General features: G+C 41.4%; 1 protein-coding gene and 1 non-coding gene across 13 annotated transcripts in view, besides 7 other annotated features; one reads left to right on the top strand and one right to left on the bottom strand.

The window, feature by feature from the left end:
- Positions 1-19881, bottom strand: part of LTA4H (leukotriene A4 hydrolase) — a 42768-nt gene extending 22887 nt beyond the window's left edge. For 9 of the 12 annotated variants that reach the window (NR_182265.1, NR_182266.1, NM_001414264.1 and 6 more), the window contains exons 1-4: positions 11722-11948; positions 5416-5546; positions 3805-3925; positions 840-908 (exon numbers count right to left, since the gene is read on the bottom strand). Coding sequence is in view for 8 of the 12 variants with exons in the window: in NM_001414264.1 (NP_001401193.1) it covers positions 840-908; positions 3805-3925; positions 5416-5546; positions 11722-11880 (480 nt within the window). In the remaining 4 variants the exon portion in view is untranslated. Of the gene's footprint in view, positions 1-839; positions 909-3804; positions 3926-5415; positions 5547-11721; positions 11949-19649 lie in introns of those variants that run through there. The other 3 variants (NM_001256644.1, NM_001256643.1, NR_132659.2) reach the window with 2 other exon arrangements.
- Positions 9243-9412: an enhancer, noted in NCBI's record as "experimental_31194 CRE fragment used in MPRA reporter constructs". NCBI's record gives its function as "activates a minimal promoter by MPRAs in K562 erythroleukemia cells, with activity observed for the introgressed 12:96426745 variant allele {active_cell/tissue: K562}" and the evidence as "EXISTENCE:reporter gene assay evidence [ECO:0000049][PMID:34662402]".
- Positions 11047-11136: an enhancer, noted in NCBI's record as "active region_6821". NCBI's record gives its function as "activates an Ori minimal core promoter by ATAC-STARR-seq in GM12878 lymphoblastoid cells {active_cell/tissue: GM12878}" and the evidence as "EXISTENCE:reporter gene assay evidence [ECO:0000049][PMID:35858748]".
- Positions 11577-11676: a silencer, noted in NCBI's record as "silent region_4740". NCBI's record gives its function as "represses an Ori minimal core promoter by ATAC-STARR-seq in GM12878 lymphoblastoid cells {active_cell/tissue: GM12878}" and the evidence as "EXISTENCE:reporter gene assay evidence [ECO:0000049][PMID:35858748]".
- Positions 11727-12146: an enhancer, noted in NCBI's record as "active region_6822". NCBI's record gives its function as "activates an Ori minimal core promoter by ATAC-STARR-seq in GM12878 lymphoblastoid cells {active_cell/tissue: GM12878}" and the evidence as "EXISTENCE:reporter gene assay evidence [ECO:0000049][PMID:35858748]".
- TRD-GTC2-8 (tRNA-Asp (anticodon GTC) 2-8) lies at positions 12382-12453 on the top strand. The gene has a single exon. It is a non-coding gene; the product is annotated as a tRNA-Asp (tRNA).
- Positions 12587-12636: an enhancer, noted in NCBI's record as "active region_6823". NCBI's record gives its function as "activates an Ori minimal core promoter by ATAC-STARR-seq in GM12878 lymphoblastoid cells {active_cell/tissue: GM12878}" and the evidence as "EXISTENCE:reporter gene assay evidence [ECO:0000049][PMID:35858748]".
- Positions 12657-12706: an enhancer, noted in NCBI's record as "active region_6824". NCBI's record gives its function as "activates an Ori minimal core promoter by ATAC-STARR-seq in GM12878 lymphoblastoid cells {active_cell/tissue: GM12878}" and the evidence as "EXISTENCE:reporter gene assay evidence [ECO:0000049][PMID:35858748]".
- Positions 23449-24648: an enhancer, noted in NCBI's record as "MED14-independent group 3 enhancer chr12:96440866-96442065 (GRCh37/hg19 assembly coordinates)". NCBI's record gives its function as "activates an origin of replication core promoter dependent on BRD2, BRD4, P300/CBP and CDK7 cofactors, and independent of MED14, by STARR-seq in HCT116 cells {active_cell/tissue: HCT116}" and the evidence as "EXISTENCE:reporter gene assay evidence [ECO:0000049][PMID:35650434]".

Below are 26293 nucleotides of genomic sequence, written 5' to 3' on the forward strand. Positions count from 1 at the left end.
CTATTTGCTTGGTCTAAGTAGGTCTAGCCTCCGGGATAGTGATTATTTAGTAATTACAGTCCGCCTTTTCCAAAAAGGATTAGCAGTACCTACCAAGGGAATAAGTTGGAATTGCATACAGACAAGTCTGGAATATATGCCCACTAGGCTTATATGGCTACAGAATGCATTTATAGAAACTTAAATCATGCAAATGTCAATTTTTAAAAGTTAAGTAAAAATTGTTCCTAAGTTCTTATTTCTAGATCCAGGATTCTGAATTTCTTCTTTTTGTTTGTTTGTTTTTTTGTTTTTTGGGTTTTTTTTTTGAGACGGAGTCTGGCTCTGTCGCCCAGGCTGGAGTGCAGTGGTGCCATCTCAGCTCACTCCAAGCTCTGCCTCCTGGGTTCATGCCATTCTCCTGCCTCAGCCTGCCGAGTAGCTGGGACTACAGGTGCCCGCCACCATGCCCGGCTAATTTTTTGTGTTTTTTTTAGTACAGATGGGGTTTCACCATGTTAGCCAGGATGGTCTCGATCTCCTGACCTCGTGATCCACCCATCTCGGCCTCCCAAAGTGCTGGGATTACAGGTGTGAGCCACCACACCTAGCCCTGAATTCCTTTTTAAAAGTCAGATTGGTTTCCATTTCCTTTTTTTCACAGTTAAAATGTTTAAAACTGCCTTTAAAGTAGAGATTCAGAATGAGTGCCACAGCCTCTTTGTTTACATATTTCAGGTAGAATTTCATTAAGAAAAATAATTCTAGCTCTAGGAATTCAATTATCATCTCTGCTTATCATTTATACCATATTTACTGATATGCATCATTTAATTGAGTTAATAATTCGTAATATTTACCTCTGCAGTATAGGTTAATTTCACAGAAGGAGTGTCCTGACAAGGAAGGATTGCTCTGCAGTGGATGGCCTGAAAAAGGGAGAAACAAGAAGAAATAGCTATTTATCTTTCGCATAAGTCATTAAGAAATCATTAAAAATTGCAGCATTGTTCTTAGACATTAAAATAAAAACAGTCCTCATTTCTTGGGATTTTTTTTTTTTTTTTGAGACGGAGTTTCACTCTTGTTGCCCAGGCTGGAGTTCAATGGCATGATCTTGGCTCACTGCAACCTCCACCTCCCGGGTTCAAGCAATTCTCCTGCCTCAACCTCCCGAGTAGCTGGGATTACAGGCATGTACCACCACGCCCAGCTAATTTTGTATTTTGAGTAGAGATGGGGTTTCTCCATGTTGATCAGGCTGGTCTCGAACTCCCAACTTCAGGTGATCTGCCCACCTCGGCCTCCCAAAGTGCAGGGATTACAGGCGTGAGCCACCACGCCTGGCCTTTTGGGATCTTTTAAAGTCCAAAAATAGATTCTTGGACTTTTAAAAATCAGATTTTCCATTTTAATCTATGGTTAACCCTCACATTTCAGTTGAAGCATGGAGAAACTCTTAAGCAGTGTTTCCTACTCTATGGTCTGGGTGACAGTAGTGCCCAGTGAGAAGCTTTTAGAAACCTGAGAAAAAAGGGCTCTGTAGCAAAACAGACCTGAGAAGTATGGCATACTGCACCACTGTCTTGCAGAGCCACTAGAATATTAGCCGCCTGAAGGCTCTGAACAGACCTACAATAAAGAAACCTGTTTGATTTCTTACATTTATGTTAACACAAAACCCATTTCTCTCTGGTTTAACACCTAATGGGATGTCAGTATTCTAATGAACACAGCCTGAGAAATGTTGCTGTAATCCTGACACTTCAATCTTGCAGCAAACCTTGTAAGTAAAACAAAGAAGCAAAGAAGGGAGAAAGAACAGTCTCTTTCAATACCATCTAGACATATTCATTCATATCATATGCAAAGTGTTTCTGTACTGCCACACCAATCGTTATTAACATTGGTTCCATCCAGTATGACCACAGGCCAGGTGCCGTGGCTCACTCCTGCAATCCCAGCACTTTGGGAGGCTCAGATGAGAGGATTGCTTGAGCTCTAGAATTTGAGACCAGCCTGGGCAACATAGTGAGACCTTACCTCTACACAAAAAAAATTAGCTGGGCATGGTGGTGCACACCTGTAGTCCCAGCTACTCAGGAGGCTGAGGTAAAAGGATCGCTTGAGCCCAGGAGTTCTAGGCTGCAGTGACCCAAGTTCGCACCATTGCACTACAGCCTGGGCAACACAGCAAGACCCTGTCTCCAAAAAAAAAAAAAAAAGAGCACCTACAATCTTATACCCGGTCTGTTTACAAATAAGTCTGTCTACTGCTGGTGAACAATGAAATGAAAACCCAGCCTCATTGAGACAGTCTACTAAACTCAAAGGAATTCTGATATTAACACCCTTCTCTGAAGCTATTACAAATCCTAAACATACTTCATTCCACCACAAGCTTTCTTAAAACCCCCAAACTCCAGGTCTTTTCATTTCAGTTCTAGAAAATTCTCCAAAGATATAGGCTCCCAAATGACCTCTAGATGGATTAAGTAGGACTAGCAGAGCCACCTGGTTCTCTCTCCCAAAATAGATTTCCAAGACCATGCCTCTATAGTTCCTTAATGGTTTCTAGTTAGGTGACATGGCAACACCAAAGGGGTTTTTAAATGTATTTCATTGGATAAGGCCAAACCCAGGCAAATATGCATACAGAACAACCGTAAGCAAATTCATCAAACAAAATCATGTCTACATGATTCCTATCACCTCAATCATTTATTAATTTAGCTGAAATCTGTTTCCCATATTCCCACCATTGCTGCCAATAAGAAATGGAATAATATATTCAAAATTAACATTTTCATGACTCATAAATCTTGCATTTCTTGCCAACTTTGGTTAATAGACATTCTATTAAGACATACTGCCTGAAAATCAGATATTTATGAGATACAGATTGTGCAATTTGTACACTCTTGCGTAGAACATTTCATCTCTTCTAGATTATTAAACTGAGGGTTTCTTAGATTAAAAAGATGTTTCAAGTGGCCATAGAAAGTAAACAGGTCTGATTCATATGCTAATTCCTTTTTTAAATGGACTTGTATTGAAATTTGAACCTAACACACAGGAATATTGGGAGGGATGAAACATGTAAAGAATCTAGCACAATGCCTGGAAATAGAGCAAACGTTTAATGAAGTCAGTTCCCTTAATTGTAAATTATTTGATTACTATGAAAAGTAGGTATTTTTTCTTTCAGAAGACAGTTTGAAATGTATTATCCTTGTGACAGGTTATCTCTAATTGTATGGCTCTTTACCCTTAGTTTTAAAACAGAAAACAAAAGTAGTTTAAGTCATGCAATTTTAAAGGTACAGTTAATATATTGATATAATACATACTTTTGTAAATGTGTAAGAAAAATATGGAAAAGCTACATTCCAAACTCAATGGTGGTTACCTCTGGGCAATGGTGTCTGGAAAAGGTTTGGAAATTAAATCTTTCACTTTCCATTTCTTTACTATTAGCATTTTTCATAACCAGTACATATTATTTATTAATTTTTCCTTTCATTTTATGACTATTTACTGAGTACCTACTCTCTGCTAAGTTCTAAGTCAGGCCTAGAGAGTCCAATCTAGGTGGACATATTTCCAAACTGAAAGAAGCTTCTTATTTAAAGTAAGGCATGAGTGTATTAATAGTGAAAGATAAAATGAAAATATATAATTCATCTTATATGTTTCTATAAGATCAATTAATACATTTTATTAGGTAAAACCTACATAATCCATAAAACCACTGTTCATTTTGCTTCATTCAACCATAGGTGCTGAAATTTTCTGCATCAGAAATCATTCTGGAATCCTTTTTACCTGGCACTGACTAAAGAGATATGGGTGTTCCTTCCCAGAAGTCTGTTCAGGAGTGAGCCACTGGAGAGCAGAAGATTTTGGAGAGGTCTCAAAAGAAATTTCTATAACAATTTCTTGATTTCTGTATGAAACACATAAATATATTAGTAGAGTATGATTCCATCTAGTGAAAATTTAAACTCATAATACATACACTGAATAATATAAATAACATAGTATGCATTCTCATCACTGATTGGCAGTAAGCTCTAGGTATGCCACATCCTCAGTGGGTAAGTCTCCTCTCAGTTTTCCTACCTAATTGCCAGCCTGTGGGTCCTTTTACCTCTCCCATGCTAACTGCTAGCGAAGGCTTAATGGCAACTAACAGTGGTTGACTACCCCGTTGTGTGTCACGTACTTTGCATCTGTGATATCATTTAATATTTTATTAGAGTGAAAAAGTAAAAGAAATCATTTTTGGGGCTTCAACTACCACAGCAGCAGGTGCCACAGCATGACACAGAGCAGTGCTAGTCTGCAAACTGTTACCGGCCCAGGACAAGACAAGACCAGAAGTTGAGAGTCAGCATTGCAAAACTTTTAGAGTCATTTTTGTCTGTTGAATCTAATAATAAAAAATGTGTGCTTGTATTTCATCTCTTCTTCCTCATATTTCATTTTTATTGCATTGTACAAAAGTATCAGTCTATGACAGATTGAAGAGGATAGAAATTGGTCCTTTACCCCAGAGAGTTTGAGAAGCACTGATAATAAGGAAACAGCAGAGGTTTAGAGACCAGCAGCCCTGCTGGTGTTCGAATCCTGACTCTATCACTTACTGGTACTGTAAACTTGGGGAAATTATTTGACCTCCCTATGCCACAGTTTCCTTGTAGAATGGGGTGAATACCATCTACCTCACAAGCTAGACTTAAGTGTTTCCCTTCTCTTAAAGGGAAAGAGAAGGCATGAAAACACTGGCCTCTGAACAACTGGGGTAGATCACCCTTGTTCTAGGCCAATAGTTTTCACCCTCTTTCCCCTCAAGAGGTGGCATATACTCCCAGTGTGACAATTCTGGTTGCCACTTTCTTGAATAAGTTATTTCTCTAAGGTTCCCTTTCCTCATCTTTAAGTGTAGATTATACCAGCAGGGTTACTGTAAGGATTAGATACAAGAATGCATTTAAAGCACTTATCCCAAGATTGCTGCACTGTAACAGTTCTATCTTTGGCATTATCATTGTCCCATTAATAAATGCAGCTGGCCTCTGGGGCAAGGGCAAGGAGGGTGCAACTTGTAAAGCTGCCCAGGTTATCTTGAAATGCCTTCTTATGATGGCATGCCCCCACCATCACTCTAGATATTAGTAAAAGGATGAATCGTTTAGAAACTAACAGTTCCCAAAGTCCTTGTTGTATTATATACAAACAACATTTTTAGTATCTTAAGTATATATAATTTTAACTGCTGTATCAACTTTAATCTGAACAGAAGATCAGGATAAGTAGTGTACCAATCATTACATATTTACAAACTAAAATTTAAAAAGAAAAAATATTTAAATTAGTTAAGAATATGTTTCCCCATTATTTAGCTGTAAAAGAGAAAGATCATAACATTCATACTTGCTCAAAGCGATAGGAAGAGAGATTTCCATTGGCGATCCCTTGTAACTTTGTCTTTCTCCAAGAGCATATTTGACTTCTTGTCCATTGATCACTACTTTTTCTATTGTAAGGTCCTTTGTATCCAAAACCTAAAATTAATATTTTTAAATAGTAAGAAAATAGTTTCATTTACCAGAAAAAACTCATATTAGATATAGGCTACAACAACTAGTTGCTTATGGAGAGTAAAATACAGAGTGAAATTAGAAGAATTGAAGAGTCAAAAGCTAGTCTAGGTCTCATTTTTTGGGACTCTAAGCATCTTGAAAATTTTTGGGTTCTAAGATTTGCATATATATTGTTAAATAACCCTAGGACAGTCACACAAATTTTGGGCTTTAAGTAAAAGTCAAATCTAAATCAAAATATGTTTGCTTCTGACTCCTAAAATTTTCTCTATTATGAAAAACTTTATCTATAACTTAAGTTTCTTTCACTCTGGCTCCTCAATACATTACACAATATATTTCCTCCTAGAACTCATGTACTTTCAAACTTCATGTTCGTTAAGCAAATCAGCAAACTGTATATCACTGTGGTTGTATATCTAGAAAAAGCCCAACCTGGTATGGTAACTCAGACCAAATGATTCTGCAGAGGATTGGGAGGCCATATCTACTTGCCATGGCCAATTAAGGACAACTGCTTTGGGCATGAAGGAGTGACATCAAGTGTCAGAGTATTTTCTATCCCCAAAATCCTGAGCCCTACAAATCATACTCTTTAATTATCTCTCAACTAATCTCTTGTCCTAGAATCTTGAACCTTCCTATGCCACAAGACTGTTTCCTAACAACATAAACAAAATTCTACTTGATGGATCTACCCACTAAATATTCTAGTTTTCCTCCTTCCTTCCTTAAACTCCAAGGGAGTTTTTGACTGCTATGACTACTACTTCTACTTCTTCATTAATCATCCTCCCTTTCCCCTTCTTCCATCTGGCTTCTTGCTATTGAAAGGGCAGCCCCCACCCCGATCAACAAAGTCTTTTCTGTCCAATAACCTTGACCTCTGTCTACTCACAGCCCTTATGGACTATGTCATCTGGTTAAAACCCCTTCCTTCACTTCTTTGCCTGTACGCATACATCATAAATGGTTCTCTATTTGTCTAATGTTTTTTTCCTTTCCCCTCCTTTATTCCAATTCAAAAATATGGATATGTCCCAATGTTCCAGCCCCGGTCCTTTGATTTTCTTGCCATATCCTTCACTCCCTAGCTCTTACTCATGCCCACATCTTCAATTAGTATCTCTGTGAAGATGCCTGCCATTCTAGTTCTACAGTTGTATTCCCTCCCCAGGACCTCAGTCGAATCGCCTGCTCAACATTTCCATGGGACATAGCACCACACATTGAATAGGCTTCTAAAAATTCCAAAAATGATTTTTATACTCCCTGAATCAGATTTCTCCCCAGATTTCTTGATTCTGTTAAAAGAACTCTTCCAGTTACCTAAGGTTTGATCCCATTTCCCAACCCCACACAGCCACTTAAAAGTTGTTCTTTCACAATGTCTTCATACTTTTCCTTTCTTTCCACTACTAACCCAGGTCAGGCCCTGGACTGGCAGAACTGCTTTCTACCAGATCTCCCTACCTCTGGCATTATTTTTTTCCTTTTCTGAAATCTGACCTGGCTACATGTGAGGCCAAGAACCAGCCATTTCCCAGCTGCCCCTGGGTACTTTCTTTTGGGGGTACCTCATTTGTTATCCTTACTCTAAATTAGTAGAAGATACGGTTTATATCTTATTTAAAATAATAGGGTTACTCCTTCATATTCTAGTACCTCTCTAGTCTCTTCATAGTCTAGTACCTAGTTCTGAATAGCTATTCAGAATAGCTAACTTGTTTTAAAAACTTGATTTGAGTATCTTGTGTTTATAACACATGCTTATATAGATGAATTAACTGGGTCATTTCCCAGTGGAACATATTCTGTTTTCTATATTGGCTAAACTTTCCAAATCTGTTCAGAATCAGAAGTGTCATAGTGACAACTATTTTTTGTGAAACGTTTTGATATCCCCTGTGTCTGTTATAGCTCTTGGCCCTACCCTTTCCTATAATACTTACTGTACTGCATTATAATGATTTCTTTTTCCATTAGACTAAGGGTTCTAAAACAGAGAATGTTACTTAGGTCTGTATTCCCAGGGTTTAGCACTCTGCCTCAAAAACACTAGGTGTCAATTAATGCATGAAGCAGGTCCTAGACCAAGAGAAAACAAAAAATGCAATGTTTAAGCTGTATTATCTCAAGTCCTAAGTCTCAACTATCATTTGCAAACTACTTTTTAAAATTCCCCTTCAAATTTCAGCGATGTTATTTTTAAAAAATAGTCAAAAACTGTAATAAGAAAGAAAAATAAAGAAAACTGGATTGTTGACAAGTTGGATTTAGTACTTTTTAAGAAACGTGTTAAGCATCAACAGCTCTACTAATTATAGGATATAATTTATATGTTTCACAGTATCCTCTTTGAACAATACCCTCCATCCCCCTAAAAAGCAGTTGTACTTCTCAGTAGCTGGTCAGTTGACATGGAATAGGTATCTGATTCCTTTTTTGCACAGGCTGGTAGGAAGCTCCATGTCAACCCTGTGGCCCACTTCTTTTAAAGTATAGAGGGCTTTATGCCATGGGTTTTGTTTCTCCTATCCCTATTCTCTCTTCCTGCAAATTATTTAATTATTTTTAATCTTATACTATATATGTTGCTTCAAGCAGTCTCAGTCCTTTCTAGAACAAAGCAGAGTTTTTTTAAAAAAAGCTTTATGCCTCATTATGATGTCTAAATTTACATTTTCTACTTGCTATGTGCAGGGATATGATGAAAAAAAATAGGTTTATGTGTGAAACACAAAGCTAAAACTAAAAAACCACCTTGATTTGATTCCCAGTTGAGACATTTACTTAGTGAAAACAAGATGGTTTGCAGTCAGAATTACCTATTGTTAACTGCTGGCTTCTGCCTTGGCCATGGCACTAAAACCTCTTGAGCCACTAACCAAAAGAACACCTAAACATTTCTGAAGGTTTCAGTGAAAAGAAACAAATGTATGAAAGTTATCATAAATTTGGAGGATCAAACTTCAGTGTAAATAACCCAAAACTTGAAAAGAATTTTAGAAAGCTTAGAATTTGTCCGATTAAGTCTCCTTCAGCATTCCTCAACATCACAAACTCTAAGAACGGAGAGGAAAAGAAGACATGACGTCTCTCCTGATTCCGCACTGGCACTGGGTCTTCCCATCTCACCTCTGAAATACAGCTGGCACTATTATCAATGTAGCCCATGTTAAGCTTAGGCACTGTTTTCTAATTGAAATCATCCATTAATCAAACTTTTGAATGTCCTCTACATGCCAGACATAGACTATACTAGGAAGCTGAGATACAAAGAGTTATGAAACACAGTCTCTACATTCAAGAGTCCACAATCTAGTGGAGGAAAGAAACAAGTTAACTTTAAATAAATACTAATTAACTAATTAATAAGGATAAGCTCCTGGTCTAAGGCTTTTGTCATAAATAAGCAAACAATTATAAACATGTTATTTTGTACCATAAATTGCCTTCCTTGTATAACATGTAACATTATTATAATTCCAGGCTCTAATTTGCTAAACAGACATGCCAACCAGAAATCACTATTTTAAAATCTTACTTTTCTCTAGATTTGGGGAATGTAAAAACAATGAGCAGATTTTTAGATTGGGACATTCTTTTCAAAATTTAAACATCCTGACTCTTGCTTACTTATAGAACAGAGATAAAGTTTTTATTCTACAAAAGTGATGAGAACACATGGATACACAGTGGGGAACACACACTGGGGCTTACTGGAGGGTGGAGGGTAGGAGAAGGGAAAGGATCAGGAAAAGTAACTAATGGGTACTAGGCTTAATACCTGGGTGACAAAATAATCTGTACAACAAACCCTCATGACACAAGTTTACCTATGTAACAAACCTGCACATTTGAAGTACACCTGAACTTCAAATAATAAATTTTTTAAGTTTTTATTTTACAAAACAAAGGTAAGTGTGAGGTCACATTAAGCAGCAAAAAGCTATAAAAATTTTCATTCTTTTACTTTTATCAGCATAGTTTATAATTTAATTTTTTTAAATAAAGGTGAAGAACAAGAACTTTCCAGTTAACTAAGAGCTTTGAGTGGGTTTGGGGCTTAGTCAAGGTTTTATTATATCTTAAACCAATTGGAATATTTCTTCTGAAATATATGTTGCAGCTAAAGATTCAAGGAAGAATTTGCTGTTCATATATTAGAAAAACCTCTTTAAATTTCTTCCACTAGCGACCTCGGTTTTGGTTTGCAATTATTCACATCTGAACACAAGTGTCCTGAATTGCTTAATTTTTAAATCTCTAGTACTTTTGAATGTAGGACGTATAAACTCATGTTCAAATATGGCAGTCTCACAGTGTGGTTTTTCTTTTTTTATTATTATACTTTAAGTTCTGGGGTACATGTGCAGAACGTGCAGGTTTGTTACATAAGTATACACATGCCATGGTGGTTTGCTGCACCCATCAACCCGTCAGCTACATTAGGTATTTCTCCTAATGCTATCCCTCCCCTAGGCCCCTACCCCCAACAGGCCCTGGTGTGTGATGTTCCCCTCCCTGTGTCCATGTGTTCTCATTGTTCAACTCTCACTTATGAGTGAGAACATGCGGTGTTTAGTTTTGAAACTGCATTGAAATAGGACTTCAGCCCTGCCCAGGCAAAGTTGCTACTGCAATTAAAGATAGCATGGTACTTCAAGAAGACCAAAGTGCGATCTGCAAGGAAATAGATGCCTTCCTGCTTATAATATCTTAATTTTCTTTCTTATGGTACTTTTGTTGATTACCTATCAGTACATAGAGGAATCGACCTATTTTTCAAATCAATCAGTTTAGCAAAATGTTGAGGGATGAAGAGTAAGAAAGTAAGTACTTATTAGTTCATATTAATGAAATCAAAATTCAGATCCTTCCTACACAAGTAGGAAAAAGAGGCCTGAAAGCCACCAATTCTTATCTGCCCGATCTGATCTGATTGCTTATTGATGTGCTTTAGTAGATTTCACCATGCTACACTGTGTAAAATACACATGTAGCATCCTGCCCTGGTGAAGAAGCCGAATTTGGCTGTCTTTTCATGACCCTCTTATTTTTAAAATGATCTTCTATGAAATTCTTCAGGTGAAAGGTACCTTCAGATGAAAGGTATAAACCAAATACTATTGGGCAATTTGAGCAAGAACATTAAATATAGGTTATGATACAGATAAAATCATTGAATAATATTCCATGAATCTACAACCTTTCTTCATTCCAATGGTTATAGAGTTTGTAGAAGTATGTGTTTTCTAAGTGAAATAACTACTTGGCTCCTTGGAACCAACTATTAAAAAAGCGTATTGAATCATCCTTAGAAAATTTGAACGTCCCATCCGTTCTTAAATTATTAGAAGAAAGTTGATAAGATTAAAAAGTAGAAAGGACCCTGAAGAGAGAGAGCTGCGCCTAGAGTTAGCAAGCAGGGACTGTTAGTTTCAAAGTAGGGCGGAAAGAAGAGGCCTGCCCGGCCGGGGCTGGAAATCCTAAGAGGCTTGAGAACGACTAGCAGGGAGATCCAGGGAACTAGGAGGGAGACGGATGGGTGGTGCCCTGCAGACCTGTGGATTGAAATAAGTGTTCCCGGGAGGCAACCGTGGGATCAGGGATCGACAGGACATGGGATCTGAGACTTGGGTGAGATTGTTGACTGAGGAAGGTGCCCAGGGGGCTGGGAAAAGTCTGGGGCCTGAAGAAGGGGGTTCTGGGCCGCAGGCCGAAGCAATGGGGAGGCCATGGAGTAATTAGAGCCAGGAACTAAAATTATGGGGGCTACTGCAAAGATGACACCTAAGGGCTGGGTGAGTTGAGAGGAGTGGACGAGGCGCTGGATGTGCCCAGGGACCTCGGAGAGAGGATCCAGGCGAGGGGCGGAGGAGACATACGTATAAGTGGGGGCTGAGGGAAGGGATGCAGAGGCGTAAGCGGGGTTGAGAAGGGGTGCTGTGAGAGATCTGGGGGCTGAAGTGCACAACATGAGTTGGATGGAGGCTACAGAAGAGCAGACGGGGACGTGGGGCTAGGCAGGGGCCGCGGCGGGGTGAGCCGGAGATCCGGGAGCCCGCAAGGACTAGGGTCGAGGGGCAGGGAGCCCGGGAGAGGCGGGCACTGGGCAGGCGCCCCACTGTACCAGGCTGCGCAGATTGTCCTCCTGAGACTGGACCGTGAGAGCAGCAGTCCCGGTCAGCGTCCGGCGAGTAAAGTCGACGCTGCAGCGCAGGTGCAGGTGCTTGGTCCGGCAGACGGAAGCCGGAGAGGCCAACGAACAGGTATCCACTATCTCGGGCATGGCTCTGGGGGATCACACAGCACAGCGACCTACAGCCCAACGCTCAGCTACCAGACTCGTCGATAGAGAACCTGAGGAGGAGGGAGAGAGGTAAAGAAGAGGAGGAGGGATTCGCGGTGCACGCCGGGAAAGGAAGTTTCTTAAAGTCAGACGAGCGTTGGGGGATGGGTGAAGGAACTACAAGTTCCATGGTGCCGCGCGGCAAGCGGGCGCTTGGCTACCTGGGAGCGTGTGTGTTAGGGATGTTGAGGGGGACCAAGCGTGCTCCTGGAGCTGAAGAAGAGGAGGGGAGTAGGGGCAGTTAGAAGGGTGGCCGAAGGGAAATGATGAGAATGGAGGGGGAGATAAAACTGAACACTACCATTTTGGCTCTGTTCAACTTTCGTGGAAGCTGTGGTGGCAAACGTAAGAAAATCAGGTTCATTGGTGTTTGCATATAGCGAGGGCGGGGCGGAGCAAAAACGTAGAAAAGGCCTATCAGAAGGCTTTCTTTCGTGCGGTTCCTCGTTAGTATAGTGGTGAGTATCCCCGCCTGTCACGCGGGAGACCGGGGTTCGATTCCCCGACGGGGAGGCACAGTAATTGTTTTTTGTTTTTAGCTGTAAGTAATTCAAGGTTTAAACAGTTGTTTTGTCAGTTTCAGTGTTTATTATGTATATCCCCAGAACCTGCATCTCTCAAACGGAGAAAGCCAACATTCCCATCTTAGAAACTAATGAATTTCTATAAAAGTTATGCACTGGTCGCAATGGGAGTACAGAGCTGGGACATCTAGCTCAGCTCTGGGGCCTTTGTGGCAGGTGAAGGAGGATTGAAGGATGCCTTGCCTTTAGGGTGGGGCCTCAAAATTAAAACTGGAAAAATTGGAAGAGGCTAGGTTTCGAAGGACCTTAAATAGGTGGCCTTTTAATCCTGGGTGCATTAATGGGGGACCCACTGAAGAGTTTTCAGCAGGCGACTGATAAAGCATGGTCAGACTCATGTTATAAAATGCGGTATCAAAACCATTAGCAGGAGATTTAGGAAACTATTAAAATGGCTCAATCAGAAGATGCTGGGGGCCTGACATAGGTAAGTAGTAAGTTAGGATAGAGAGGAAGGAATGAATAGAAGGAATACTTATATAAGTGGATTCACAGATTGAGAGGAGACGAAGGTGGCCCAGGCTTTCGGCTTCAGTGGCTGGCTAGTCATTAACCAGAGGTAGTAGTCTATATGAAGAGGACAGTATGTTAGGCTGTACTTGCATTGCTATAAATACCTGAGACTGGGAAGAAAAGGGGTTTAATTGGTTTACAGTTACGCAGGCTGTACAGGAAGCATAGCTCCAGTATGCTTCCAGGTAGGCCTCAGGAAGCTTACAATCATGGCAGAAGGTGAAGAAGGGGCAGGCCTCTACATGGCCCGAGCAAGAGCAAGAGATTGCGGGGCCGGTGCCACACACTTAAACAATCAGATCCCACAAGACACTGTGGCGAGGACAGCACCAGGCCATGAGGGCTCTGCCCCCGTGACCCAAACACCTCCCACCAGGCCCTACCTCCAACACTGGAGATTATAATTCAACATGAGATTTGGTAGGGACATATATTCAAACTAAATCAGACAGATTTAAGGGGAAGATGCTAAATTCAATTTTGGACATATGAAATTTGAGAACCTATGGGAGTGGAAGTGGAGATGTCCATGAGTCACTTGGATATTTAAGTCCACAGCTCTGGGGAAGTGCCAGGTAGACATGACCACGTCACATAACGTGGTGGATGAAATTATGACAGTGGGTAAGCTCAACCCAAGAAGAGTGTGTAAAGAGAAGGGTAATGAAAACAGGTTGGAAGCTGAGAGAACACCAGAATTTATTGTTTTAAAAAGGGCTAGAGGAAGAGAAACCCATGAAATAAACCAGAAAGAGCCAACCAACAATGCCAGATGCAGTCCCGAGGACCACCGAAGTAAGAAGTGAAAATTCTCTAGATTTGGCAGTGGGGTGAGAATGGGGAAGGTGGTGATTTTGTTGACTGTCGTGATTTGGTTGAAGATGGAAGCCAGAGAGTAGTGGATTGAGCAATGAAGAGAAGAGGGAGGTGAAGCATAAACCACTGTCAAGTTGCTTGGCCAATGTGAGAAGGGAAGATAAAGGGGAAGCTAGAGAGGAATGCAGCATTGAGAAAGCTTTTTTTTTTTTTTTTTTTGAGACGGAGTCTCGCTCTGTCGCCTAGGCTGGAGTGCAGTGGCGCAATCTCGGCTCACACAAGCTCCGCCTCCCGGGTTCACACCGTTCTCCTGCCTGAGCCTCCAAGGACTACAGGCGCCCGTCACCAAGACCGACTAATTTTTTGTGTGTGTATTTTTAGCAGAGACGGGGTTTCACCGTGTTAGCCAGGATGGTCTGCATCTCCTGACCTCGTGATCCACCCACCTCGGCCTCCCAAAGTGCTGGGATTACAGGCGTGAGCCACCGCGCCCGGCCGAGAAAGAATTTTTTTAATGTTTGCTTTTTAAGGCAAGAGAAAACTTTAACATGTTTAGATATACAGGTGAAAGGGCTTCTGGAGAAGAGGAAAGTTTCTGCAGAAGGATCGACTCAGAGGCAAAAAGGTAGAGAAGAAGAAAGTAAAGATTTCAGAGGTGTGAGGGATAGTTGATGGGTTTAGCATGCTGGTATGGTTCAATTCTCTATCAAAAGTGACGAAATTTAGCTCCAGCAACAACAACAAAAAACTGCTATATTTCTGGATATCCTTGTGTTGGCCCCTGCAAGCCAAAGGAAAACAAAATAAAACCAAAAAATCCCAAACTATGAAATCTAATACCTTACACATGCATAGGTCCTAATTCATAGGGTGTAAGAATTTGTCATCAACATTTGCATTTTCGGATTTTTTTGGCAAATGTCCTGTTGCCCAGGCTGGATACAGTGGCATGATCATGGGTAACTGCACATTCAACCTCCTGGACTCAAGCGATTCTCGTGCCTCAGCCTCCAAGTAGCTGGGACTACAGGCGCCCGCCACCACGCCTGGCTAATTTTTATATTTTTTTAGAGATGGGGTTTTGTCATGTTGCCCAAGCTGGTCTCAAACTTCTGAGCTCAAGGGATCCACCTGCCTTGGCCTTCCAAAGTGCTGGGATTACAGGTACGAGCCACCACACAGAGCCGCAAACATTTTTTGAGGTCACCAAATCTAGGGTGACAAATACAATAGATAACATAGAATTCATTTAGTCAAATAATACACAGTCAAATCATCTTATTTATCTAGTATGGAGAAAGGATAGTTTGTTTTAATAAGAACGTCATTATCATCATCTTCTATTATTGATTACCAGGAACCCACAGAGTTTATGCCACTTGTGTTTAAATAAAAATATCCACACACAACCACAAATAAATTCCTCCATTAATATATTCATCAAAAAATAAATTACAGTAGGAATTGTTTTCTGAGATACCACTCACCCCAAATATAGAATGTACAAAATTTGCAATTTACAAGCAATTGGAGTATTATTGATATCCAATGGGGAATTGAGAATGCTTCAAAAAATGAGGCTTTCCACTGCATCTATAAAAGAAGGGTAAGGCTGGGCACAGTGGCCCACACCGGTAATCCCAGCACTTTGGGAAGCTGAGGCAAGCAGATTGCTTGAGCCCAGGAGTTTGAGTTCAGCCTGGGCAATGTGGTGAATCCCTGTCTCTACAAATAATAGTAATAATAATAATAAAAGAAGGGTAATATCAGGGTTTAGTTACCAAAGGAGACTTAAAGATGAAAAGATGATCTATATAAAATATTATGAAAAGAAATAATACCTATATTTATAGAGCCATATGAACAGGAAGAATTCCAGCCCTGCTATTCACCTGGAAAAGTTACTTAATCCCTCAATCCCCTCAGGATAATTGAGGCACCTGTGGCCCGTGCAGTTGTTGAAAAGATGAAATGAGATAAAGTATGGGAACTGCTTGGCACTGTGATTGAAACAGATTGGGCATTTGTTACATGTTAGCTAATATGATTATTGCTGTTGGCTTTTGTCTATTTTAACCACTGTAATGTTATTTTTCCTTGTTGTGTTAGCAAGAGCTTTTAGGACAACCTGGGAAGTGAGAAGCAACCACGGTTTGTACAGCAAAACAAGTCACACCAAATTAGGCCTCTAAAAAGGAATGGCAACATTAGCAAAGATATGTTTTGAAATGCATTTACGGGAAATTTCAATTGTTGCACAAATGCTTCCCTTAAAAGGGCAAAAAGACTTTACATTGTTTTCTCCCCTTCCTTTACATATACCTTTCCTTTCTTGAAATAGTCGATGTAATTTGCAGATATTTATTAGATGCATTCTACTACACTGTGCTACCTAGAAAATAATTGGGGAAGGTTCTGTCTTACCTCTTGGATAATTTATACTCTAGTACCCAGCTGTACTAATGACCTAAGACAACATGGTGTTAAGAGGAGACTAAGGCCCTAGAAAAACTATACATGAAATTCTAGAGGGACAAGTTCTATCCCTTTGGAGAAAGTCAAGAATAACGTCATGATTAACATAGCATTTGAGATGGGATTTGAAGGATGAGCCGAATATTAATAGGAAAAATGGTAGGATTGAGCATGGGGAGTGGGAGGTGGGCAGATTTTTCAGGTGGACTTAGCAGGAATCAAGGCGTGGGGCCAGAAGTAGAGATGTGTTTGGGAAAGAACAATTCTGAAGGTACAAAGTCCTACAAGTTAATGCAGTGCCCTCACACACTCCTCAATAATCTGCCTTTCTTCTTTCCTCTCCAGGTTATACATCTGGCATGATAGAGATCATTAGTTGTCTTCTAATACCTATATATCTTTTCATCCTTAGTAGTAAAACCTTCCATGTTTAGCTGGACACATGGCCACCCGGAAGTAGACATTTCCCAACCTTCTTTGCAGTTAGGCCATACCATTAAGTTCTGTCCAATGGCATGTAAGTGGAATTGTCAATTATGACTCCCAGGAAGTGTCCTTAACAGTAACTTTATTTTCTTTTTAACCTTTTCTCTATTCTTTTCCTGGAATGTAGATAAGATACATTGATGGCTAGAGCTCTGACTACCATGTTGTATCATGATGTTGGAGCCATGTGCTGAGAGTGGTGGAGCAGCAAGGTAGAAGGAGCCATGAGCTGGAAATAGCCAGGTCTCTGGGGATCATGGAAACCCCATGTGAACTGCTCTGAATTTCTCAAAGAAATAAATTTCTACTTTGTTTAAGACAGTGTTATCTTGGGTTTTCTGTCCTTCACAGGGAACTCAATCTTTACTAAGACTCCTGGTCTCAGTTGGGTGAGTTTATCAGTTTTGCCCCAGATACTTGCCCTTATCTGTTGGTTTTCCACCACATTATCGTGGACAGATCTTTCTTCCTTCTTGCTTGTGTTATCTGCTAGAGCATTCTTTCTAATGTAATCATCTCACTCCCCTGCTTAAAATCCTTCAAGGTCTTACTAACATTGCCAGTTGATATTATCTGCCTTTTTTGATTTAAGGCCCATTTTCAAATACTAGAATTTTTGGCATACAATCCAAGGGATTAAAAGATGAACGTAAGCTTTTTTTTTAAAGAAAGCTTTGGCAAATTTTTTTTAAATAACCAGTTATTCACAGTATATTATAATATTATATTTGTATGCTTTTATGATTTTTTAAATCTGAAATTATATTAAAATGAAAGATGAGTCTCATTTCTTGTATAAGTTCACTTTTTTGTTGTTGTTGTTTTGGCATTTGATGTTTGTAAGAGTTGAGAACCCTAATTTTCTGAGAAATGACATGGAAGACTGCAGCAGTACCTCTGGACTCCACAGTTGGGTGCTCTTCGAGACCATGTTGCCATTTAAACAGAATGGTTTCCTCCCTTTGCTCTGCCTGCTGATGTGGTCTAGCTAGCTCCTGATTAAACTCTGCCTCTTGCCTCTTTTTTACAGAAATGTGTATCCTCTACATGCATCAAAACATCACACTATACCCCATAAATACATACACTTTTTATGTCAATTAAAAAAAAAACAAAAAAAGAAATGTGTATCCCCCTTTACACCAAGTTAAATCACTCAGCTTATTATCTTCAAAGTAGTATAAACCCCCAGTTGTTGTTGTTTTTGAGGCAAAGTCTCTCTGTGTCGCCCAGGCCGGAGTGCAGTGGCACAATCTCGGCTCACTGCAAGCTCCGCCTCCCGGGTTCACGCCATTTTCCTGTCTCAGCCTCCTGAGTAGCTGGGACTACAGGCGCCCGCCACCACGCCCAGCTAATTTTTTGTATTTCTAATAGAGATGGGGTTTCACCGTGTTAGCCAGGATGGTCTCAATCTCCTGACCTCGTGATCCGCCCACCTCAGCCTCCCAAAGTGCTGGGATTACAGGCGTGAGCCACCGCGCCTGGCCATAAACCCCTAGTTTTAAATTAAACGTTTCTTTTTGTTTTTTTTTCTTTTTTTTTTTTTTTTTGACAGGGTCTTGCTTTGTTACCCAGGCTGAAGTGCAGTGGCACGATCTCAGATCATTGAAACCTCTGCCTCCTGGGCGCAAGTGATCCTCCACCTGAGCCTTCTGAGTAGCTGGGACCACAGGCACAAGCCACTACGCCGAGCTAATTTTTGTATTTTTAGTTTGTTTGTTTGTTTGTTTGTAGTGACAGGGTTTTGCCATGTTGCCCAGGCTGGTCTCGAGCTCCTGAGCTCAAGCAATGTGCCCATCTCAGCCTCCCAGAAAGTGCTGGTATGGCAGGCCAGGTCCACTAACGCAGGCCTCCATAACAACTGTTTCAGTACTGACTGAGTGGTTAAATTAAATATTAAAATCCAGTACCCTTATGCAAAGGCTGGAATGTAACAAAAGCCCACCAAGAGTTTTGCCTAGGCCTTTCCTGAACCTTAAAGCATGATTAAACAAGTTTATTGGGAGTCTGAAGGAACTCCCCAAACCTCCATGATTTAGCAGGAGACAAGATAAGGATAATCACCCCAGCACCTGCACCCATTTAGATTAATTTACTGACGCTCCACAGGAAGGTCTTCAAGACTCAGACCTTAGTTATAGACGGAAAGAAGTTAATCACCTACGTCTTTAGATGAATGCACACTTACATATAGACATATAGCTTAGAAGGTATATAAGCTCTGGAAAACTTTGTAATTTTGAGTTGGTCTGGTGATAATTTCCAGGCCTTCTCCTTAGAAAAAAATAAAGGTCCCTATTCCTGTAACCGGTTACAGAAATAAAAACTCGCTTCCTCCCCAGTTCACCTGCATCTCATTATTGGGCCACGAGAAACAGCAGCCTGACCCTCACTTTGGTCCAAGAACACTGGGATTACAGACGTGAGCCACCATGCTCAGCTAAATCAAACTTATTTCTATATATTGGTCCACAGCAATGTTCATGATTGATAAATGACCAGTCTTACTGTGGCCACCAGGTCTGTCAGGATCTTGATCCTGCTTACCATTCCCATCTCATACTTCATTCTTCCCCCAAAGCACTCTGTCCTTGGACTGCACCTTCACATCAGCCTATCTCACAACTCCACTTCTTCGCTTTTGTGTTATTTCTCCAGAAACATGTTGCTCCTCTTTGCTTTCTCCACATTCTGCCTAGAAAACTCCCTGACGCAACCTGCAGTAGTTGGCAAAGTGAGAACATGTCGGGTAGACCCGGGAGGTGAATTGAAGGGGTAGGCAGGGACTCGACTTGAAAGAACCTCACATGCCTTGAGAAGGAGCTTGGAACTTACCTTTAAGGCTGCAAGAAGTCGACGAGTCTTAACTGGGATATGCATGGTCGGTACTTGTCTTTTAGAAAGATTTCTCTGTGGCAGCATGGGAGACAGATTAGAGGAGGTGTAGACAGGAGGAGAGAAAATAAACTCCCAAGCCCATGCATCCTCTTGCCCTCTTCCCTTGTTGCTTTAAAAGACAAACATGCGCCTGTAGTCCCAGCTACTCGGGAGGCTGAGGCAGGAGAATGGCGTGAACCCCGGGGGGCGGAGTCTGCAGTGAGCTGAGATCGAGCCACTGCACTCCAGCCTGGGCGACAGCGAGACTCCGTCTCAAAAAAAAAAAAAAAAAAAAAAAGACAAACATGTAGTTCTTTTCCATTTAGAGAGTTTTATTGGTGATTATTATAGGAAAACAGACTGGAGAGAGAATAAAAGTAGGCGCTGCAGCAATTCTCAGGTGAGAGATGATGGTGGCTTGGACCCAGGAATCAGCAGTAGAATTGGTAAGAAGTGATCAAATTCAGCATAAATTTTGAAGGCAGACCTACTAGGATTTCTTGGCAGTTTAGATATGGAGTATGAGGGAAAGGGAGGAGTCAAAGATAATGCCAAGACTTTTGACCTGATAAACCAGGAAAATGTAGTAGGATTAGCTGAGAAGGAGAGATTGTGGGAGAAGCAGACTGGAGTGGGCGAGGGTAAATTCAGGAGTCCAATCCTTTTTTTCCCCTTAATTTTATTTACTTATTTATTTAGAGACAGCGGTCTTGCTATGTTGCCCAGGCTGGTCATGAACTCCTGGCCTCAAACCATCCTCCTGCCTCAGCCTCTCAAAGTGGTGGGATTACAGGAGTGAGCCACTGTGCCCAACTCAATCTTTCACATATTCAATCTGAGGTGTCTGTGATTCGAGTGGAGGTGCTGAGTAGGCAGTTGGACATATGAGTATGAGTCCAGAAGAAAAGCTGGAACTGGGCTGGAGATACACATTTGGGAGTTCAGCATGTGGATGGCACAGGGGGAAGAAGAGACGCTAGCTATGGAGACTGGAAAGGAATGGCCTCGATGAAGAAGGAAAACCAAGGAAGTCCGTGTCTTGGATGACAAGTGACATCTGGAAAAATAAAGGAGCAGTGTGGTCAGGGAGCCTGATGAAATTCTGACTATGGATGACTCACTGTTTTGTGTAAAAAGGGGGAAGAGAATTTATTCTAAAAATTTGTTCATATCTACATAAAATACTTCTGGAGGGATGCTCAAGAAACTCATGGTATTGTTTGCCTGTGTGGACAGAGAAGGAAGGCCAAAGAACAGAGGTGAAAAGTAGATATTTCAACTGAATAATCTTGTAAGCCTTTTGAATTTTAATGTGAATATATTTCCCAGTCAAAAGGTTATTTATTGATATGAAAAAAAATAAAGGTCACTGGAATCCCAAACCACAAACAAAAACAGCCCTTGCTGACTTCCTGTGGACTTCATAGTGTCTACCACTGGCCCCGCGGGGCTCTGCAGCTTCCACTTGAGTGGCTCGATACACCCTGCGTCAGCCATGCTGAACCAAGGTGTTCAAGCTCTCTGCACTCTCTGGCCCTTCCTTGAGCCTGCATGCCCTTCCCACTCCCACTCTTCCCGCAACCTTGGCAGGGCTCTCCTCCTCCCCTTCAGGACTCTGCCCCCCACCACCCTCCAGTCTGGGCTAGAGTCTAGTAGAATCTCCCTTGCTAAGAGAACAAGGTGCATGTGACACCCTTCTCTTCCTCCCTTCAGTGTGTGAGCAAATAGAAGAAATGATTTTAGCCACATTTTTAATGTTCACCTTACAACATAGTTGAGGCAATCCTGACCAGTTTCTCCATCTTCTGTGAAATTTCTTCTTCCTTGTGCAGCCATGCGCATGAATTCTATATTTATAGTCACATCTCCAGTCTGTTCTGCATGTCAAGAAAAGGTTTGGGACTGGGTGCGGCAGCTCATGCCTGTAATCCCAGCACTTTGGGAGGCCAAGGTGGGCAGATCACCAGGTCAGGAGATCAGGAGCATGTTGGCCAACATGGTGAAAACCCATCGCTACTAAAAATATAAAAATTAGCCGGGCGTGGTGGCGCACACCTGTAGTTCCAGCTATTTGGGAGGCTAAGGCAGGAGAATCACTTGAACCCAGGAGGCAGAGATTGCAGTGAGCCGAGATCGCACCGCTGCACTACAGCCTGGTGACAGAGCAAGGCTCCATCTCAAAAAAAAAAAAAAAAAAACAAAAACCCAAGGTTTGGGCAGCTGGGAAGGCCAAAATGAAAGAAGCACGAGAAAAAGTTCTGCCAATTTTGTAAAATAGCATAAGTGGTCTCCTCCCAGATGCCTTTCTGGCACCCCACCCCACCCCATGGTTGACCGCAGGCAGAGTCTGGAAAGCCCCACAGCCACCCGTGTTTCCTCCCACACAGTTCTGTCTTTTATTTCTCGGCTTGTGTCCTTGGGAGGGACTGGCCTGAACCAAATAGGCTGTCACGCTGTCCTGAGTTGGAGCCAGACAGTGCCAACCATCACATGGCCTTCTCTCTTAGGTCTCACAAAGTGTGTTTGAAGATCAGCAGCATCTGCACCTCCTAGAAGCCTCATCAGAAATGCAGATCTTGGCCGGGTGGCTCATGCCTGTAATCCTAACACTTTGGGAGGCTGTGGTGGGCGGATCACTTGAGGTCAGGAGTTCAAGACCAGCCTGACCAACATGGCAAAACCCCGTCTCTACTAAAAATACAAAAATTAGCTGGGCATCGTGGTGTGCATACCTGTAATCCCAGCTACTTGGGAGGCTGAGTCTGAGGCATGGCGTGCACCTATAATCCCAGCTCCTTGGTAGGCTGAGGCAGGAAAATTGCTTGAACCCAGGACGTGGAGTTTGCAGTGAGCTGAGATCACGCCACTGCACTCCAGCCTGGGTAACAGAGCAAGACTCTGTCTCAAAAAAAAAAAAAAAAATGCAGATATCAGGCCTGCCCTGACCTACTGGATCAGAATCCACATTTTATTCAGATCCCCAGGAGATCTGTGTGCATTTTAAATGAGATCACTGCCTTAGAGGCTCAAGAAATACTTTTGGCATTGGAGAAAATTCAGTCCAAGTGTTAATCAAACATGTCAGGACTCCTTCTCTTAGGGTCCACTGCCCTTGACCGCCATATCAGTACTCTCTTAATACCCTAGTGTTATCCTCAACAAAGCATTTACCACACTGCATCATTGTCAGTTTACTTGTCAGCCTTCCCTACTACATGGTGGGTCTTTAAGACCCTGATTGTATATTCTCCCTCTCAGCACATGTCTGTTGTATGAATGAACAAATGTATAAATGAGCGAATGAGATTTCACATGAGGTTCCAGGCAAACTTTTATTCAGTGTTTCACTCTGTGTTGACTTTGCAGCAAAGAAAAAGCCACCTTCTGCACTTGCCCTTGTCCTCTGATGTCACCAGGCAATGTTTGTTTGTGATACAGAATGCCCTTGCCAGCCCACCCCCCCACTAATTGTAAACACTTTTAAAAACATTGTTATTGAAGCATACTATCCATTCATAAAAATGCACATATTGTAAGTGTATAGCTCACTGAACTTTATAAACTGAGCATGCCAGTGCAATCAGCACCCAGATCAGAGACAGAACATTACCACCACTGCACTGTTGCCTCCCTTAAGTTCCGTTTCAGTCTCTATAAATCCTGCTTCCTAGGGGTAACCACTGCCTGACTTCCAATAGCATATTACCTTGACCTGTTCGGCTATTTATCTTTCCTTTGCATAAACAGACACATACAGTATATTCTGTCATGCCTGGCTCCTTGGCTCAACATTCCTTTTGCAAGATTTCTCCATAATGTTGTGTGTACATCTAGGCTGTGCACACTCACTGCTGTACAGTGTTCCATGTGTGGATATACCATGATTTACTTATCCTTTCAACCGTGGATAGACATGTGGGTGATTTCCAGTTCTGAGTTATTATTATGAATGGTGCTGCTATGGATATTCTGGTACGTGTCTTTCGGTGAACACATTGTAGCCAGGTTTTGACATGCTGCTTTGAAGTTTAGACAGTTGCACCCTGCCAGGAGATTTCCTTTAAGACCCCTGCACCAGGCCAGAAACATTCACTGCATTGCAGCAACCTGATTCTGTAGTTGTTGACACAAATCCAACACCCTTCTCCCTACCCCAGCTTGGGTAGGGGTTAAAAGTAGATGAAGTAGGGAGGGAAGCTGTTTTCAAGTTACAAGAAAAAGTTCTTTACAACTGCTGGCCTTGTTCATACTTTATTTTCCTCTCACTCACTTCCGTTTCTTTTCCAGGTAAGCCTGATTGCAAGCTTCATTGTACCTGTTTCTTTCTGACTCAGATTCCAGCTCAGCTTACATTTTTCCCACTAAGTAGGCAGTGATATTTCATCACAGCAGGTACTTACACCTTTTGTTCTGATGACTTAAAGCACAAGTAGGTTTTGATAAGTGCTTGCAGGGTTTCATTTTCAAAAGTCCTATTTCTGTGTCATATTTGTTGGCTTTGAGCCCAGTTTCTCTTGCTCTGCCAACAGAGCAGGTTATGCCTATTTGCTCATGGAAATAACATTTTCATGAGCAAAGGCTAACCCCAAATGCTTTCCTCCTAAACGTTCTTCTCATCTACAAATCCATGTTTGAGGAACTATTATTTTGTCATTTCTTACAAAAGGTTTTTATTTGAAATTCAGAGTTGAGTAAACCCATGGAAGAGACTCACATGGTTGACTCACTCTCTGCCCTCTCCTGCACATGTGTCTCAGGATTTCTTAAACCCAGCCGAGCACTTCCGCAAACCTCCCAGACCTGACCTCCTCCTCCCTTCCAAGCTGCTCCCCTTGGCTTCCAAAGCAGCCCCCTTCTCCTTTCTTCCTCACACACACACTGCACCCCACTCAGCTCTATCCAACCAATGCACGGTCCTGGAAGGCCCTCCATACCCACTTCTCTCACCTCTGCTCAACTGCCCCCTTTCGCCATAGATATATTCCCAGTGTATTTTTCTCTCTTTTGGTTATTAATTCTTCTGAACATGAACTTCACATACCTATGTATGTATGTATGTATGTGTATGTATATACACATACATATATACATGCAGTTAATCCTCATTATTCATGGATTTGGTGTTTACAAGTTTGCCTACTTGCCAAAATTTATTTGTTATTCCAAAATCAATATTTACAGAGCTTTTGTGGTCACTCTTGGACACACTCAGAGCTGTGAGAAATTTGAGTCTCCGGAGGCACACAGTCTCAACTGAGGTTAAACAAAGTGACCCTCTGCCTTCCTGCTTCTGCGCTTATACTGTAAACAAGTGTCCTTTTTGCAGTCTAATGTCACCTTGTTTACACATTTTTGTGCTTTTCGTTGGTGATTTTGCAGTTTAAAATATTCCCCAAGTGGGTGCTGAAGTGCTGTCCAGGGTTAAGCGCAAGAAGGCTGCGATGTGTTTAGGGACAAAGTGTGTGTGTTAGATAAGCTGCATCAAGCATGAGTTACAGTGCTGTTGGCTGTGATTTCAATGTTAATGAATCAACTATATATTACAAAAGTGTCTTGAAACAGAAAAACATATACAATGAGATTTTGTATTGATTGATGAAAATGTGAACAGAGGCTCTCAGGAACCTACTATATTTCCCCTGGGAGCAAAGGTTCAGGATTCACTAATGCAATGTTTATGAACTTTCTAAGATATAATTACTGCAAATCATGAGAATCGACTGTATATATTTCTTGTCCTTCTGGTTAATTTGTATTTGTTTCTTTATACCTTTCTCACTCTGTTCCCAAAGAAGTGGAGAGGGGCAGTTTCTTCCAGGTATACCTTACAATTCTGTCGTCTCTATTGCAGCCCCCAGCTCAGTACAAACAACATAGTAGGTCCTCAAAAGATTCAAAAGGAATAAAAGACAGGAGTGGAGAAAGGAAGGAACAAAAGAAGGAACGATGGCAGAACGAAAAGACGCACCATGGAAGCTGAGGGTGCTGCTTATCTAAGCGGGCGTGGCTTCCCAGAACTTCTCATCTCTCACTCCTTAAATGCTTCCTCTTTATTTCATTGAATCATTGAACTAGAATAATATAATATCAGAAATCAAGTTATATTTTATGATAGATTTGGCTTTTTCTGCTGCTCTTTGCAAAATCTAACAAAACAAACCTTCCAGTTTCTTTGATTTTTTTTTCAAACTTTTCTTCTCCCTCTCCTCATCCTCTACTCCTTGATCTTCACTTGGAGAAGGACAATTCTAGAATTCCTGAACTCTAGGCCAAAAGGAAGTGGGCAATCATGGCAAGCATAAACACATCCATGGCAAGTTATCAGACACCTTTTGTGGGTACTAAACAGCAGGGATGCCCACTTGTCCCTTGGAAGTTTGCAAACATACTGGGAAAATGGGGACTATAAAATTAAACCACCAAAGATCAGTGTGGGAGACTGAATAATTAAAGGGTATCCAGGTGGACCAGTCACAAACGCTGTAGGAGCTCAATGGAGACATCAGTGGGCATCTTCCTGGAAGCAGTGAGGCTTGCATGGAAATAAAAAACAGGGGGTTCTAATTTTTGTTATTGTTCACCAATATCAGCAAAAAAGGTGG

This window comes from Homo sapiens, chromosome 12, assembly GCF_000001405.40.
Source record: "Homo sapiens chromosome 12, GRCh38.p14 Primary Assembly".
NCBI classification, from domain to species: Eukaryota; Metazoa; Chordata; class Mammalia; order Primates; family Hominidae; genus Homo; species Homo sapiens.